The sequence below is a fragment of the Homo sapiens genome, chromosome 2 (assembly GCF_000001405.40).
Source record: "Homo sapiens chromosome 2, GRCh38.p14 Primary Assembly".
NCBI lineage: Eukaryota > Metazoa > Chordata > Mammalia > Primates > Hominidae > Homo > Homo sapiens.
In genome coordinates this window covers 170,033,260-170,048,345 of record NC_000002.12, presented here as the reverse complement: position 1 = coordinate 170,048,345, position 15,086 = coordinate 170,033,260, and the positions used below count along the sequence as shown (strand labels likewise).

Sequence of the window (15,086 nt, the reverse complement as noted above, 5' to 3'; positions counted from 1 at the left end):
AAGGTAGAGTAGAAGACACAAAAACCCTCACTGAACTTCCTCCATGAATCGGCCAAAACTAGTCCAGAGATGCTGGTCAGCTTTGGGGAAGGGGTGTATTGTAAAATTGCAAAGAGGGACAGGGGAGTTCAGTTGCAACCCCAGATGATTGGCTAAATGTGATTAAAGAATGATCCTCACAATGATCCTAAAGAATATCGTTCACACCTCAGTGTGCCCCTCCCTTATCAACCTTTAACCTGAATTATTTTCTAAGGAGTAAGCAGAAGCCAGCTCTAGAAAACAAGAAACAAAAGATCATTCTTTAATAACATCTGTTCAGTTGAGGAGCTTAAGATTTTATTTTTATTTCTCGCCACCATCACTAGTCTTGTGCTTTGGGGCCATTATTAAGTAAAATAAGAGTTACTTGAACACAAGCACTGTGATACCACGACAGTTGTTCTGATAGCCCACATGGCCACTAAATGACTAATGGGTGGGTAGCATCTACAGTGTGGATATACTGGACAAAGGGATGACTTCATTTCCCAGGGAGAAAGGGACAAGACAGCATGAGATTTCAGTGTACTACTCAGAATGGCATGCAACTTAAAATGTATAAATTATTTATTTCTGGAATTTTCCATTTACTCTTTTTGGACCAAAGTTGACCACTGGTAACAAAAACCACAGAAAGTGCAACCATGGGTAAGGGGGGACTACTGTACATCACGTATGGCTTCTGTTCTCCTCCTCCATTCTCTCTTGAAAGATCTCTCTGTTCACTGTCTCAATTCTCTCACTTCCTTCTCATTTCTCATCCCACTGTAATCTGCTGATTCTACAAAATATATTTGTATATGGCCAGGAGTCCCCAGGATAATATATAAGTAATTAAATTTTAGAGGTCAAAATCCTTTTGAAAATCTGGTAAAAGCTGTGAAACTACTCAGAAAAAAATGCACATATATGTACAATTTTTTCCTTACCATTTTAGGATTTCTTAAAGCCTATTAATGAACTCTGGAACCACATACTAAAAAGCCTTGGTCTTAGGCCAGCACAGTGGCTCATGCCTGTAATTCCAGCACCTTGGGAGGCCAAGGCAGGTGGATTCCTTGAGCCCAGAGTTCGAGACCAGCCTGGGCAACAAAGTGAGACCCCCCCCCCGACACCGCCACCGTCTCTACAAAAAATAAAATTAGCCAAATGTGGTGGTGTGCACCTGTGGTCCCAACTACATGGGGAGTCTGAGGCAGGAGGACTGCTTGAGCCCAGGAGGTCAAGGCTGCAGTGAGTTATGACTGTACCACTGTACTCCAGCCTGGGCAACAGAACAAGACTGTCTCCCCAAAAAATAAAAAAAATAAAGCTTTGGTCTGAAGAGGCTATCAAAGACTGTTGGGGTTACATCAATAGGATACAAGCCAACCTGAAGTATTTAAACAGTTATTATTTTACTATGGGACTGAAGGACACTAAATATATTAAAATCCAAGAATTCATAATACTGGGAAAAAAGCAATCATCTTTGGAGAATGCTAAAAAAAAAAGTCATTTTTCTGAAAACTGGTACAAAATCAAGCATTTAACCTGCCTTTCCTATATCAACTTTACCAATGTGTAAACAAATAGGAAAAATAGGAAAAAATTTTAGTTTTATGAATTCCACTTAAGAAATGAAATAATTAAGGAATAAATCTAGAGAATAATCAATAGCTTCTACTGTCACATAAAGAGGAACAACTGGAAATTATATCTCCTGATAAAAAAGTATTTAACATTATCCATGAAGTATTTTTGTAAAAAGAAATAAGAAACTGATTCCATCTAAATCTATCTGCCAGTCTGTAGGACACACACAGGGACAGAAGATCATGTTATTATATGATATTGTTGGGGGTACAAGTAGCAAAATAGAGACTATGGTAAGTTCTAAAGGGAAAAAGACTCAGATTCTTCAACAAATAAAATGCAAGGAGGTAGGAGGAGGGAGGCAACCCACAGATTTAAAAGAACTATAACAACCAAATCCAATGTATGGATCTTTTTTGGATCCTAAGCCAAATAAACCAAATAATATTTAAAAATAATTTACAGGCTGGGCACAGTGGCTCACACTTGTAGTCTCAGCAGTTTAGGAGGCCGAGGCAGGTGGATCACAAGGTCAGGATATTCAGACCAGTCTGGCCAACATGGTGAAACCCTGTCTCTACTAAAAATACAAAAATTAGCCAGGTGTGGTAGCAGGCGCCTGTAATCCTAGCTACTTGGGAAGCTGAGGCAGGGGAATCGCTTGAACCCAGGAGGCAGAGGTTGCAGTGAGCTGAGATCGTGCCACTGCATTCCAGCCTAGGCGAGAGAGAAACTGTCTCCAAAAAAAAAAAAAAAAAAAAAAATTTACAAGAAGCAACTATGGAATTTGAACACTGATGGGATATTTACTGATATTTAGGCATAACTGTTCATTTTTAATTGTGTTCACGATTTTTTAAAATTATTTTAAGAATCCTTATCTTTTAGAGATACATACTGAAGACTATAGAGATAAAATGATATGTGGTCTGGAATTCGCTTCAAAATAACCACAGGTGGGAGGGAGGAGGGAATAAGTGAGGGTATAAATGAAACAAGACTGGCCATGAGTTGATATGGGGGTTCATGAAACTCTGCTCTTTACTGTTATGTATGCTTGTAAATAAATAGTTTTTTAAGCCCTTGGTTTATAACAAAGCAAAACTGAGATATTTTCTTTCTTCAAGTCAATGGAAAATAATAAGCAGGATTCAAGCTCTCTTTTCTGGGCCCTGCTTATGGGATCTTGGAAGCAGGGATATTCTATAATCACTGGTCCCAAATGCTCTATAGAATCTTGGGAGTCTGTATTCTATACAGCATGGTTAAGAACAGATTTGTGAAGCTCCTCAAGAACAGCAACATGATCCAAACCTGGGTAACTGACCCTCCCTGATACAGTCTGATTGTCTCCCCACCCAAATCTCATCTTGAATTTTAACTCCCATAATTTTAACTCCCTCGTGTTGTGGGAGGGACCCAGTGGGAGATAACTGAATCATGGGGGTGGTTCCCGCATCCTGTTCTCATGGTAGTGAATAAGTCTCATGAGATCTAATGGTTTCATGCAGGGAAACCCCTTTCACTTGGCTATCATTCTCTTCTCTTGTCTGCTACCATGTAAGACGTGCCTTTTGCCTTCTGCCATGATTGTGAGACCTCCCAGCCATATGGAACTGTGAGTCCATTAAACCTCTTTCTTTTTTAAATTGCCCAGTCTCAGATGTGTCTTTATTATCAGCATGAAAATGAACTAATACACTCCCTATAAAGGATGATGATTTTATGTCTTAAACCCTGGAGGCTCAAAAATAAGAAAGAATTTTAGCCTGAGAGATAATAATTGTAAATTTTGTGTGAATCATCTAAGGAGATAATAATTGTAAATTTTGTGTGAATCATCTAAGAGGGCTTCTTAAAAAAGAAGGTGAAGTTCCTCTCTTAACTCTCATCCTGCTGCCTTAAACTAGACTGTGATGGCTAGAACTCTTAGCAGCTACCTTGGCACAGGGAGATGAGGGCCATACCATAAAGAATCTGGTGCTGTGAAGTAGAAGTGTCCGGCCTGCCTACTTTCACACTTCTTTCTACATGAAAGAAAAACAAGTAGTATCTTATTTAAGCTACTGTGTTAATTTGGTTTCTTCTTTATATTATATAGCCAAATCTGATCCTAAGTTATAAATCTTCTTTCCCCTTGTACATAAAGAACTAAATATGAATACCTGAAAACAGTGATGTCAGAAGTTACTTCCGAGTTTATTCTTTAGAGGCCAGTGATGTGATGGGTATTATGAAACATAAGATGCAAGGACATAAGAGATCAAAGAAAAAAACTTGTCTTTAATATATTTAATTTGAGCTTCTGATGAGATAATTGGCATAAAAAGGTCTTTCAACCTGAAAACAATGCTAAGCATTAAAAGATTTAAGAGGTATATAGCTAGGTTTCTGCATCCATCTATTTTTCAGATAAAACCATGGGAAGCATTTAACGTTCTAGTAAGTCTAAACAGTAAAATTTCCTTCCTCTGCTTTTCTCTTCTAATAACAAACAATAACTTAAACAGTTACACAAATACATATTCTTACAATAAAAATAGTTTATAATAACACTGTCCCAATAAAGACCACTATTAACTCTTACATCAAAAGGGAGTGGAGAAGAAAAATTTATATTAATAACTCCTTATCTCCCCAACTCTCCACCTCCCCTCAAAAAAAACCTCTGTGGAAAATTAATGTAATTAAGCTCTGAACTTCCTAGGAATTAAAGGCCTCTATCCAGTTCTCAAAGTGTGAAAGACTAAAAAAATTAATAAGGAATGGCATTTTTTTCTCTGACCCTAAATTCTAAGAGGAATTCATCACCACAATGACAGCTAGCAAAATATTACACAATGTGTTCGACAGCAGTATAATCTAATATCAAGATAATCCAATCTTGAATTATTGTAAAATTTTAAGAAATAATATAAAGCACAAGTTTTAAAAGCAATTCTAACTACAGGTAAATTTAATGACTGCTAAATACCTAGCTATTTGGCTCCCCAAGGGTGAAGTACATGTTTTGGTCATCTTTGTGTGTCCAGCACTTGGCAAAGAAGCATAGCAACCTGGTACACAGTAGGTACTTATTAAGTATTTCTTGAACTGAATCAAGCAATGAATTTATTGAATTTGCTTATTAAATTTGTCCAAGAAACTCTTCTTTAATGATATTACTTTAAGGCATGATTATTAACAATATTATACATTTTTACATTGATGATTTCCTGAATTTATTCTATTTATTTAACCATTACTAAGATCAATTTTCTTGACTCACTTTATGATATAGTTTTTAAACTCTGTTTCTACTGAATTAAATTCAGTAAGTTTGGTTAATTTCATGTATTGCATCCTCTTTGAGCATGAACTTCGTCTTCTGTTGAAAGCCAGTGCCAACAGTAACTTCTGACAACGAGGGTGATGCACCAGCTACAGCTCTCAGACACTGACACAACAGGTCCTTTACTCTTAACTAAAATATTTTTCTCTTTAGATTAAATATTGATTAATATAGATTAAATAGTGACAGAGAGACAATCTTCTCTATGTCAAGTTTCCTTCTCTTTTACCTTTTCAGGTTTATGTAATAACTCATAAGTAAAAGGTATATTTAACACACTTAAATATTTTGAAGACATAAAGTAATTTTTAAAATATTTCAAAACGTAATACTACTAATATAATTAGAAGAGCACAATCAGGAGTAAACCAGCATGATCCAAGGCAACTGTTTCCCTAGATTAAGAAAAACTAACCAAAGTGACACAAAAAGCCTAAAGAATTTGAAACTAATTTTACAAAGAGATTAATTTTAATAAGACTACTTAACAGGTTTTTAAACTCTATAAACACAAATGATTAAATTAGCAGACACAGTCTAACCCCCCAAAAAAGTAACATTCAAAAATATCTGAAGTTTTGCAGTTAAATATATAATTACCTGAAGAAGTTAAACAGAATTACCATATGATCCAGCAATTCCACTTCTAGCTATACATCCCCCACAAAAAAAAAAAAGTGTTCAAAAACTTTTTTTTTTTTTTTTTTTTGAGGCAGAGTATCATTCTGTCACCCAGGCTAGAGTGCAGTGGCGCAATCTCAGCTCACTGCAACCTCCACCTCCTGGGCTCAAGTGGTTCTCATGCCTCAGCCTCCCAAGTAGCTGGGGTTACAGGTGCATGCCACCATGCCAGGCTAATTTTTGTATTTTTAGTAGAGACGGGGTTTCACCATGTTGGCCAGGCTGGTCATGAGCTCCTGGTCTCAAGTGATCCATCACACTTGGCCTCAAACAAAAACTTCTATATGAATGTTCATGGCAGCACTATTCACAATAGCCAAAAGGCGGTAATAACCCAAATGTCCATCAACTGACAAGTGGATAAACCATGTTGTATATCCATACAATGGAATACTACCAAGCCATCGAGATAAATGAAGTAATGATACATGCCATAACATGGATAAACCTTGAAAACATGCTAAGTGAAGGAAGCCAGACACAAAATGCAACGTAATGTATAATATCATTAATACAAAATATCCAGTATAGGCAAATCCATGAAGACAGGAAATCAGATTAGTGGTTTCCAGGGGTTGGGAGAAGGAGAAAATAAGAAAATGACTGCTTAATAGGCACAGAGTTTCCTTTGGGGCTGATGAAAATGTTCTGGAACTAACTAATGGTGTGAATGGTGATGATCACACAATACTGTGACAGTACTAAATGGCACTTCAGTTGTATACTTTAAATTGTTTAAATGGTAAGTTTTATTTTATGTGAATTTCATGATTAAAAAATATTAATTGAAGCACACAGTGCTAGTATATTATGCTTATCAATGATATTGTTTTACTTTTTACAGAATGTCATAATTTGCATGAAATATCATAATTTGCCTATGTATTTTTAAATGATTATTTCACACCCTTAGGTAAAAGGATTTATCAAAGATCAAGCTGGAGTTTGTATAAACAATGTCTTCCCCAGGAACAAGACTTTTATACACCCATAGATGTTCATTCTACTGTAACTTGTAATAGTTAAACAAAATAAAAACTAGTTTTCTAATACAGAAGATGTTAATTATCTGATTGAATATTTTAAATGTTGTCTTCAAGTGAAAGCTACAAAGACCAAGGAGCAATAATTAAAATGTTGCTAATATAATACTGATGCTGTTAATATAATAATGTTATGATATTAACACTAACTTAAAATGATGAGACTATTTTTAATAACTCTACAATTACTACTATATCAAAATATGTATGCACATAGATAAAGGCACTAAGGCTGAGAGTTTGCTCTATTTTTCGAATTTTCATTTGTATCATCACTTCAATTTTTTAAACCATTTTCAGAATGTTTTCCCATGTCTTTACCTCTTAGTGACTAAAAAGCTGAACAGACCCACAAGAATTTTAAAAAACACTTTTTCATTGTCATTTTTTAGATACGATTACTATTTGCTAATAATAGAAAAAACAATGTCTGTTATTACCACAAAAAGTATCCATCATACTTACTGCTGTATTTACTTCTCTTTCTCTTTTTGAGACAGCATCTCACTATATTAATAGCCCAGGCTGGTCTCGAGCTCCTGTGCTCAAGCAATCCACCCACCTCAGCCTCCTAAAGTGCGGGGATTACAAGCATGAGCCACCACACCCAGCCTATTTGTCTCTATAATCTCTAGAATATTCAAAATACATAGTATATAATCAAAGAATCTGAATTATAAAGACATACCTTTGCGTAAGGGTTGTGGCATCATTAAGATCTGGATGAGCAAAAGGGATGTTACATCATGATAAAGAATTGGAACCTCAGGCTGTTGTTCTTCATATCCCAGCCTAAAAGAAAAATGTAGTCACTTTACATAGTATTGTATATCTTCTCTTTCTAATTTATTTTATATGTCACATATATATCTATGGAACAGAAATAAAAACTTTAATACACAAAGAAGAAATGTAAAAAAAAACCTTAGGAGTCATATTTTTTGCAAAAAAATTACATTTTAGACTCATATTCTCTTGACTCTAACATGAAGAAAATGTATAGAAAATGTGTTGTGTTATCAAAGTGAACAATTAGGATACATTAACTTGATTATGAGTGTTTCTGATCTTAGATTACAGAAATTAAAGTATTACATAGAGAATGAAAGAATTAGTTTCACTACAAATGGAGTGGCTTATAGGATACTTATCACAAACTTAGCAATAACGAATAAGTAAGTTTTCACATCTTTAAAAAGAGATAGGCAGAGTTCCCAAATCAATTCCTGTTGAAAAGGTATGGTTAACTGCTCTTATTAAAATGTTTCAGCCGAGCACAGTGGCTCATGCCTGTAATCCCAGCACTTTGTGAGGCTGAGGCAGGCGGATCACTTGAGCTCAGAAGTTTGAGACCAGATTGACAACATGGTGAAAACCCGCCACTACAAAAAATATAAAAAATTAGCAGGGCTTAGTGGTGTGTGGGAGGATTGCTTGAACCCAGGAGGTCAAGGCTGCAGCGGGCTGTGATTGTGCTGCTGCACTCCAGCCTGGGTGAAAAAGTGAGACTCTGTCTCAAAATTAATAATAAAATAAAATGTTTCAACTTTATAACTAACAAAATTCAAATAAAATCTTTAACATTTGCAAAGTTTCAAAAAGAGATAACCAAAGCAGAACTTAAAATACACTATAAAAGGGCCAGATGTGGTGTCTCATGCCTGTAATCCCAATAGGCATGGGAGGCTGAGGTGGGAGGATCACTTGAAATCAGGAGTTCAAGATCCAACTGGGCAACACAGTGAGACCCTGTCTCTACAAAAAATAAATTTTAAAAAGTACACTATAAAAGACAAAGTAGTAAACCTTAGGAATGTGCAGTACTATGAAAAACATAGACTATATTATAAAGCAGAGCTTATTCTAAAAGAATTTTTTAAATGCCTTTAGAAGGTTAATTTTTTGACTACATGTTTAATTTTTAATGACAGAGAAGAAAAGTAAATCTTAAGCTCCAGAAGTGGCTAAATTCTGAAGCTACACTTTAGACTTGGGATGAACAAAATTCTTCAACTCTTTTATTAGGCTCGATCATTCAGCAAATATTTACTAATTACTTACTACAGGTCAGGCACTAAACACACTGCTGAGTAAATCAACCCCTGCTGCTGAGAAACTTTTGGCTGACAGAGGAAGACAGCTCTCTGAATTTCTCCATTTTCTACAAATATTCCTTAGTATACTTGTTTTCCTCTCCAAGGATAACCCTTCATTAATGCTATGAATCCTGATACGGTCTTTCAAGTTTATCTAGCCTCTCTGCAAGGCCAAGGTCTAAAAAAAAAAAGTGTAGGGGTCACACCATTTCTATTATTCAAATTCCCCACAGAAATAGTTTCACATGATCAACAATGATCTCCTAATTACAAAATTTAGTGGACATTTTAAATCCTTATCTTACAGACCCTTGACTTGACTTTAGATACAGCTGAACATTCTGCCTGGAAAATTTTCTTGGCTTTTGTGAAACACTGTCCCAAGTTACCTTCTATCTCTCTGATTACTCCACTTTAGTCTTCTTCACAGGTTCATCTTCCTCTGACTAACAAACTGTTATTCCTCAAGATTCCAATTCTCCCTTTCTTTTCTCACTAAGGACTCTTTTTGAAAGACCTTCTAATCCATGATTTCAATTGCCAGCTATACACTGATGACTGTATGTCCAGCAATGACTCTCTCGAACTCTCTATCTGAATATCCATTACTTCCGCTTGTATATCTAACAGGCAGGCAGCTCAACAGGCCTGAAAGTGAACCCATAATCTTTCTCTCTATACGCACACTCCCACCCCAGTCACAACCATTCTATTATGCTGGTGCCAAAGTAATTGCTGTTTCTGCCACTAAAAGCAATGCACCAACCTAATACTTTCCCCTCTATAATCTAAGTTCTGATGTGGCTTATTTCTTACGTCCTCCTGCATTTATACAATGCCTGAAACATAACAATGCCTAAAACATGATAGTCCTCCAATAAAAGCATAATGAATAAATAAGCTAGGAACTTGAGGACATCCCAAAGCCATCTTCTCTCACTCACCCCGTATTTAATTGGCACTAAGTCCTAATGACTCTATCTCTACTTCCTCTTTGCCATCCCTATGGCCACTGCCTTTAAGTATTCAATCTCCTCCAATTTTATGTTCCTCTAATTCATCCTCTATATCTTTAGTGCCTGGAAGAAGTTTCCACAGGAATGATATCTTGCTTATCATTATATCCCAATGCCTGGATTAAAACAGTTAATAAAACTAGCTGGATAAACAAATGAAATATTCATGGGAAAAGGGATGGATGAATGAACAAATAAACGAGTGGTACATAATTTTAGATTCTCAGACTGCTACATTAAATTTAACAGGTGTTTAAAAGAGTCTCACTTAAAATTAGAAGAAAGTTTATGGATCCATTTAAGCTAGCCCAATTTCACTCTTATGCAAAGCTGTACTTTATTGCACAAAAATCAAAAAGGCTTGAGAACTTCTTGCATGATAACCTACAGACCAACAAATTGCAGAGCTTTTAGGTATAGAAAAGAAAAGCATTCCCAAATAAAAAAATTAAATATAGTTTAATAAAATAGGGGTAGTATATGCAACTGAAAAACTTAAAGTGCTTAACAGAATACTAGAATCTTATTTTACATTATATGCTAACAGCTATTTTCTACAATACAAGCAATCTTTCTCAAAATGAGAGGTGGATTCCTTTATGCTATTATTAATTTGCTTATTATTGTATGTGACCTTCCAATATTATTTAAAATCAGTCCAAATTGCCGTATGCAAGAATTATATACTACTAAGAACGCATAATTAACAAATGTTTCAAAACTGAAACATAATATGCATACAACAGAATAAAACAAAAAATGAATTAAAAGAATGGGGAATATTTCTAGTTGAGGAAACTGCATATTATAAAGATAACTACTTTCCCAGATTAATTTATGAGTTTAAAATAATTATAATCAAAATTACAAGTTAGGCCAGATGCAGTGGCTCACGCCTGTAATCCCAACACTTAGGGAGGCCAAGGTGGGTGGATCACCTGAGGTCAGGAGTTTGAGACCAGCCTGACCAATATGGTGAAACCCTGTCTCTACTAAAAATACAAAAATTAGCCTGGCATGGTGGCGTGCACCTGTGGTCCCAGCTATTTGGGAGGCTGAGTCAGAAGAATTGCTTGAACCCAGGAGGAGGAGGTTGCAGTGAGCCAAGATCACACCACTGCATTCCAGCCTGGGTAACAGAGCAAGACTCTGTCTCAAAAAAAAAATTATAAGTGAGGGGAAGGGCTTAGAAAATGTTCTAAAAACCTTCTGGAGAATAAGTGAGAACAGCAAAGAAAAACTGGGAGTCAGAGTTTGGGGAAGAGAAATGAGAGGAACCTAACTCAGCCCGATAACTAGACATAATAAATCACCTAAACAATAAACCATCATGGTATTGTCAGAGAAACAGGCTTGGAGCTCAATAGAACAAAGAAGAAAGCTCCTAATCAGGCCTATAATGTAGGAACCCTTAGTATTTAATAACTAGGATATAAAATCACTAAAAATACTACTTGGTTATTTGCAAATAAATTTTAGATCTTCACCTAACACTACAGGTGAGAATGAATTCCAAGTACGTTATATAGTTTTAAAAATCATCCCATGAGAAAACTCTAAAGTGAAAATATAGGTAGATATTGCAAATCCTAAGACTGGATTACACATTGTAATACTAGTTATAAAAGTATACATCAGCTCTTGGAAGACATGGGCATTCTAAGTATGAAAGTAATAGGAAAAAATAAGAAATATAAGGTCTGATTGATCTGGCTACATGAAAATTTAAAACTTCAATGGGTCAAGAAAAGTAATTACAAAAGTAGACGGCAAACATATTTTGAAAAACACTTATAAACAACTATGACAAAATAAGATTTAATATTTTAAACCATGGAGAATCATTCATATAATTTTAAACAATAAGATGCCAACAGAAAATGGACAGAGGTCCAGAATATATCATTCACAAAGAATGTATACAAATAGCTAATAAATATAAAAATACTTAACTTTGCTAGAAATCAAATAGATTTCCATTACTTTAGGATCCCATTTTTAATCACTCATATTAGCCAAAAAATGTTTAAGTGATAATACTTTTTTTGGTAAGTTTTTTCCCCAATAATAATCAGAAAAAATCCTGGCAGTTATTGGCTGATAAGATAAAAATAGCCATTCTAAGGACAGAGAGAGAAATGGATCTTTCCTAGCACATCACTGGCCCATAACTGGAATGAATGAATGGATTGATGCACCCCTCTGTAGAAAAGAGAACCAAAGATTTCAACTACAGGGTTTAATATGATCATTGTGATAACTATCTTTTAAAATGCTTAATATTTTAAAATACATAATTGTTCTCACTAAGATCAGGAACTAGGCAAAGATGTCCCCACTCCCCACTTCTTTTCAACATCATACTGGAAGTACTAGCTAATGCCTCAAGATAAGAAAAGGAAATAAAAGTTATACAGATTGGGAGAGAAGAAATAAAACTGTCTTTCTTTGTTTACAGATTACATGGTCGTCTATGTAGAAAATCTGAACAAACTGACCAAAAAACTCCTGGAACTGATAAATGATTGTAACAAGGCTACAGGACACAAGATTAATATACAGAAGTCAATCACTTTCATATATACTGGCAAGGAACAATTGGAATTTGAAAATAAACACACAGCATCATTTAAATTAGCAACCCCCCCCCCAATAAAATACTTAGGTATAAATCTAGCAAAAAAATATGCAAAGATCTATTTAAGGAAAATGACAAAACTCTGATAAATGGAATCAAACGACTACATAAATGGAGAGAGATAGTCCATGTTCATGAGTAGGAAGACTCAATATTGTCAAGATGTCAGTTCTTTGCTACTTGACCTAGAGATTCAATGCAATCTCAATCAAAATCCCAGCAAGTTATTTTGTAGATGTTGACAAACTGATTTTAAAATTTATATAGAGAGGCAAAACAGCTGGAATAGCTAACACAAAATCGAAGAAGAACAAAATTAGATGACTGACACTACCTGACTTCAAGACTTATCATAAAGCTACAGTAATCAAGACAATATGGTACTAGCAAAAAAGCACACAAATAAGATCAATGGAACAGAACAGAGAGCCCAGAAATAGATTCACATAATTATAGTCAACTGACTTTAACAAAGGAGTAAAGGCAATACAGTGGAAAAAACACAGTCTTTTCAACAAATGGTGCTAGAACAACTGGACATTCACATGCACAAAAATGAATTTAGACAAAGACCTATGCCCTTCACAAAAATTAACTAAAAATGGATTACAGACCTAAATGTAAAACACAAAACAATAAAATTCTTATAGGAGAAAACCTAGATAACCTTGGGTATGGCAATGACTTTTTAGATATAACACCAAAAGCATAATTCATGAAATAAATAACTGATAAGCTGAACTTCATTAAAATTAAAATCTTCTATTTGGCAAAAGACAATGTCAAGACAATGAGAAGACAAGCCACAGTCCTGGAGAAAACATTTGCAAAAGACACATCTGATAAAGGACTGATATGTAAAATACTCGTATAAATATAAAGAACTCTTAAAACTAATAGGAAAAAAACCCAATTAAAAAATGGTACCACGGCATTAACAGATACCTCACCAAAGAAGATATACAGATGCTTAATAAGCATATGAAAAGATGCTCCAGACCGTATGTCATCAGAGAAATGCAAATTAAAACAATGAGATACCACTACATTCCTATTAGAATGGCCAAAATCTAGAACACTGATAATACCAAATGTTGACAAAGATGTGGAGTAACAAGAACTCTCATTCATTGCTGGTGGGAATGCAAAATGATACTGATATTTTGGAAAACAGTTTGGTGGTTTCTCACAAAACTAAACATGCTATTACTATATGATCCAGTAATCATGCTCCTTAGTATTTACCCAAAAAAGCTGAAAACTTATATACGCAAAAACCTGCACACAGATGTTTAGAGCAGCTTTATTCATAATTGCCAAAACTTCGAAGCAACCAAATGTCCTTCAATAGGTGATGAATAAATTAATTGTGGTACAGACAATGGATTGTTATTTCTATTATATAGAAATGAGCTATCAAGCCATGAGAAGACATTGTGGAAACTTAAATACATATTACCAAATGAAAGAATCCAATGTGAAAAGCTACATATTGTATGATTCTAACTATATGACATTCCGGAAAAGGTAAAATTATGGAGAGAGTAAAAAGATCAGTGGTTGCCAGGGGTTGTACTGAGGAGGGATGAATAGGTAGAGCACAGAGGGTTTTTTTAGGACAGTGAAACTACTTTGTATGATACTACAACGGTGGCCAAATGTCATTGCACATTTGCCTAAACCTACAGAATCTTCAACAGCAAGAGTGAACCCTAATGTAACTACAGACTTTGGGTGATTATAGTATGTCAATATAGGCTCATCAGCTGTAACAAATGTACCACACTGGTGGTGGATATTGATAATGGGAAAGGCTATGTATCTGTTACAGTGGGGAGTATATGGGAAATCTGTGTATCTTCCTCTTAATTTTGCTGTGAATCTAAAATTGCTCTAAAAAAAAAAACAAACCAAAGTCTTTAAAAAATAATTGTTTCTATCTCTTATCTATCTCTTAAAGTTTTAGATAGTCTTTTAAATCCAGATTATAAAAATTAATGCAACTGTTGATTCTATGGATAAGAGGAAATGGGTGGAAGAGTTAATAGGAATATAGTTTTTCCATTTTTAAAAATAAAAAATGATTATCAGCACAATGAAAATTAGAAGGAAATAAAATAATTTTCATAGGATTATAGAAAAAAGTATATATGAAAAACCTACATCCTCAGATATAGAATTTTATATTGGAAGAGTGTTGAGGTGAGGAACTAGAAAGATATTTCAATTTTAAAAATATATAAATATGAAATATAGATGACATATTATAATCAACTCTTATATTACAACTTAATGAATAAACGAACCATAAAAATGAGAGCAAATATTGGGGGGGGGGGGGGTGGGTGTGGAAAAACCAATCAAATTTTCCGGAAATTCCTAAGATCTAGTACTAGGAAAAGAAGCATACAATGATAGTTAAAACTTAGGCTCTGGAATCAGAGAGATTTGGATTAAAATCTCAGCTCCGTTCCTCAACAGCTATGTGTGCCTAAAGATCATGTTAATTGACTTTTCTAAAACTTGGGTTCCTCATATATAAAAACTGGTATAAAACAGTACCTAGTACATAGAGTTATTATTGACGATTAAATGAGATTATATATGCAAAGCACCAAAATGCCTAGCATGAAGTACTATATAAGTGTTCACAGCATTTACTAC

At 34.7% G+C, this 15,086-nt stretch overlaps 1 protein-coding gene across 1 annotated transcript in view; it reads right to left on the bottom strand.

The window, feature by feature from the left end:
* The window catches only part of UBR3 (ubiquitin protein ligase E3 component n-recognin 3), a 256,678-nt gene that overhangs the window by 35,786 nt on the left and 205,806 nt on the right, over positions 1 to 15,086 (bottom strand). The window contains exon 32 of the mRNA NM_172070.4: positions 7,361 to 7,464. Coding sequence (NP_742067.3) covers positions 7,361 to 7,464 — 104 coding nt within the window. The remainder of the gene's footprint in view (positions 1 to 7,360; positions 7,465 to 15,086) is intronic.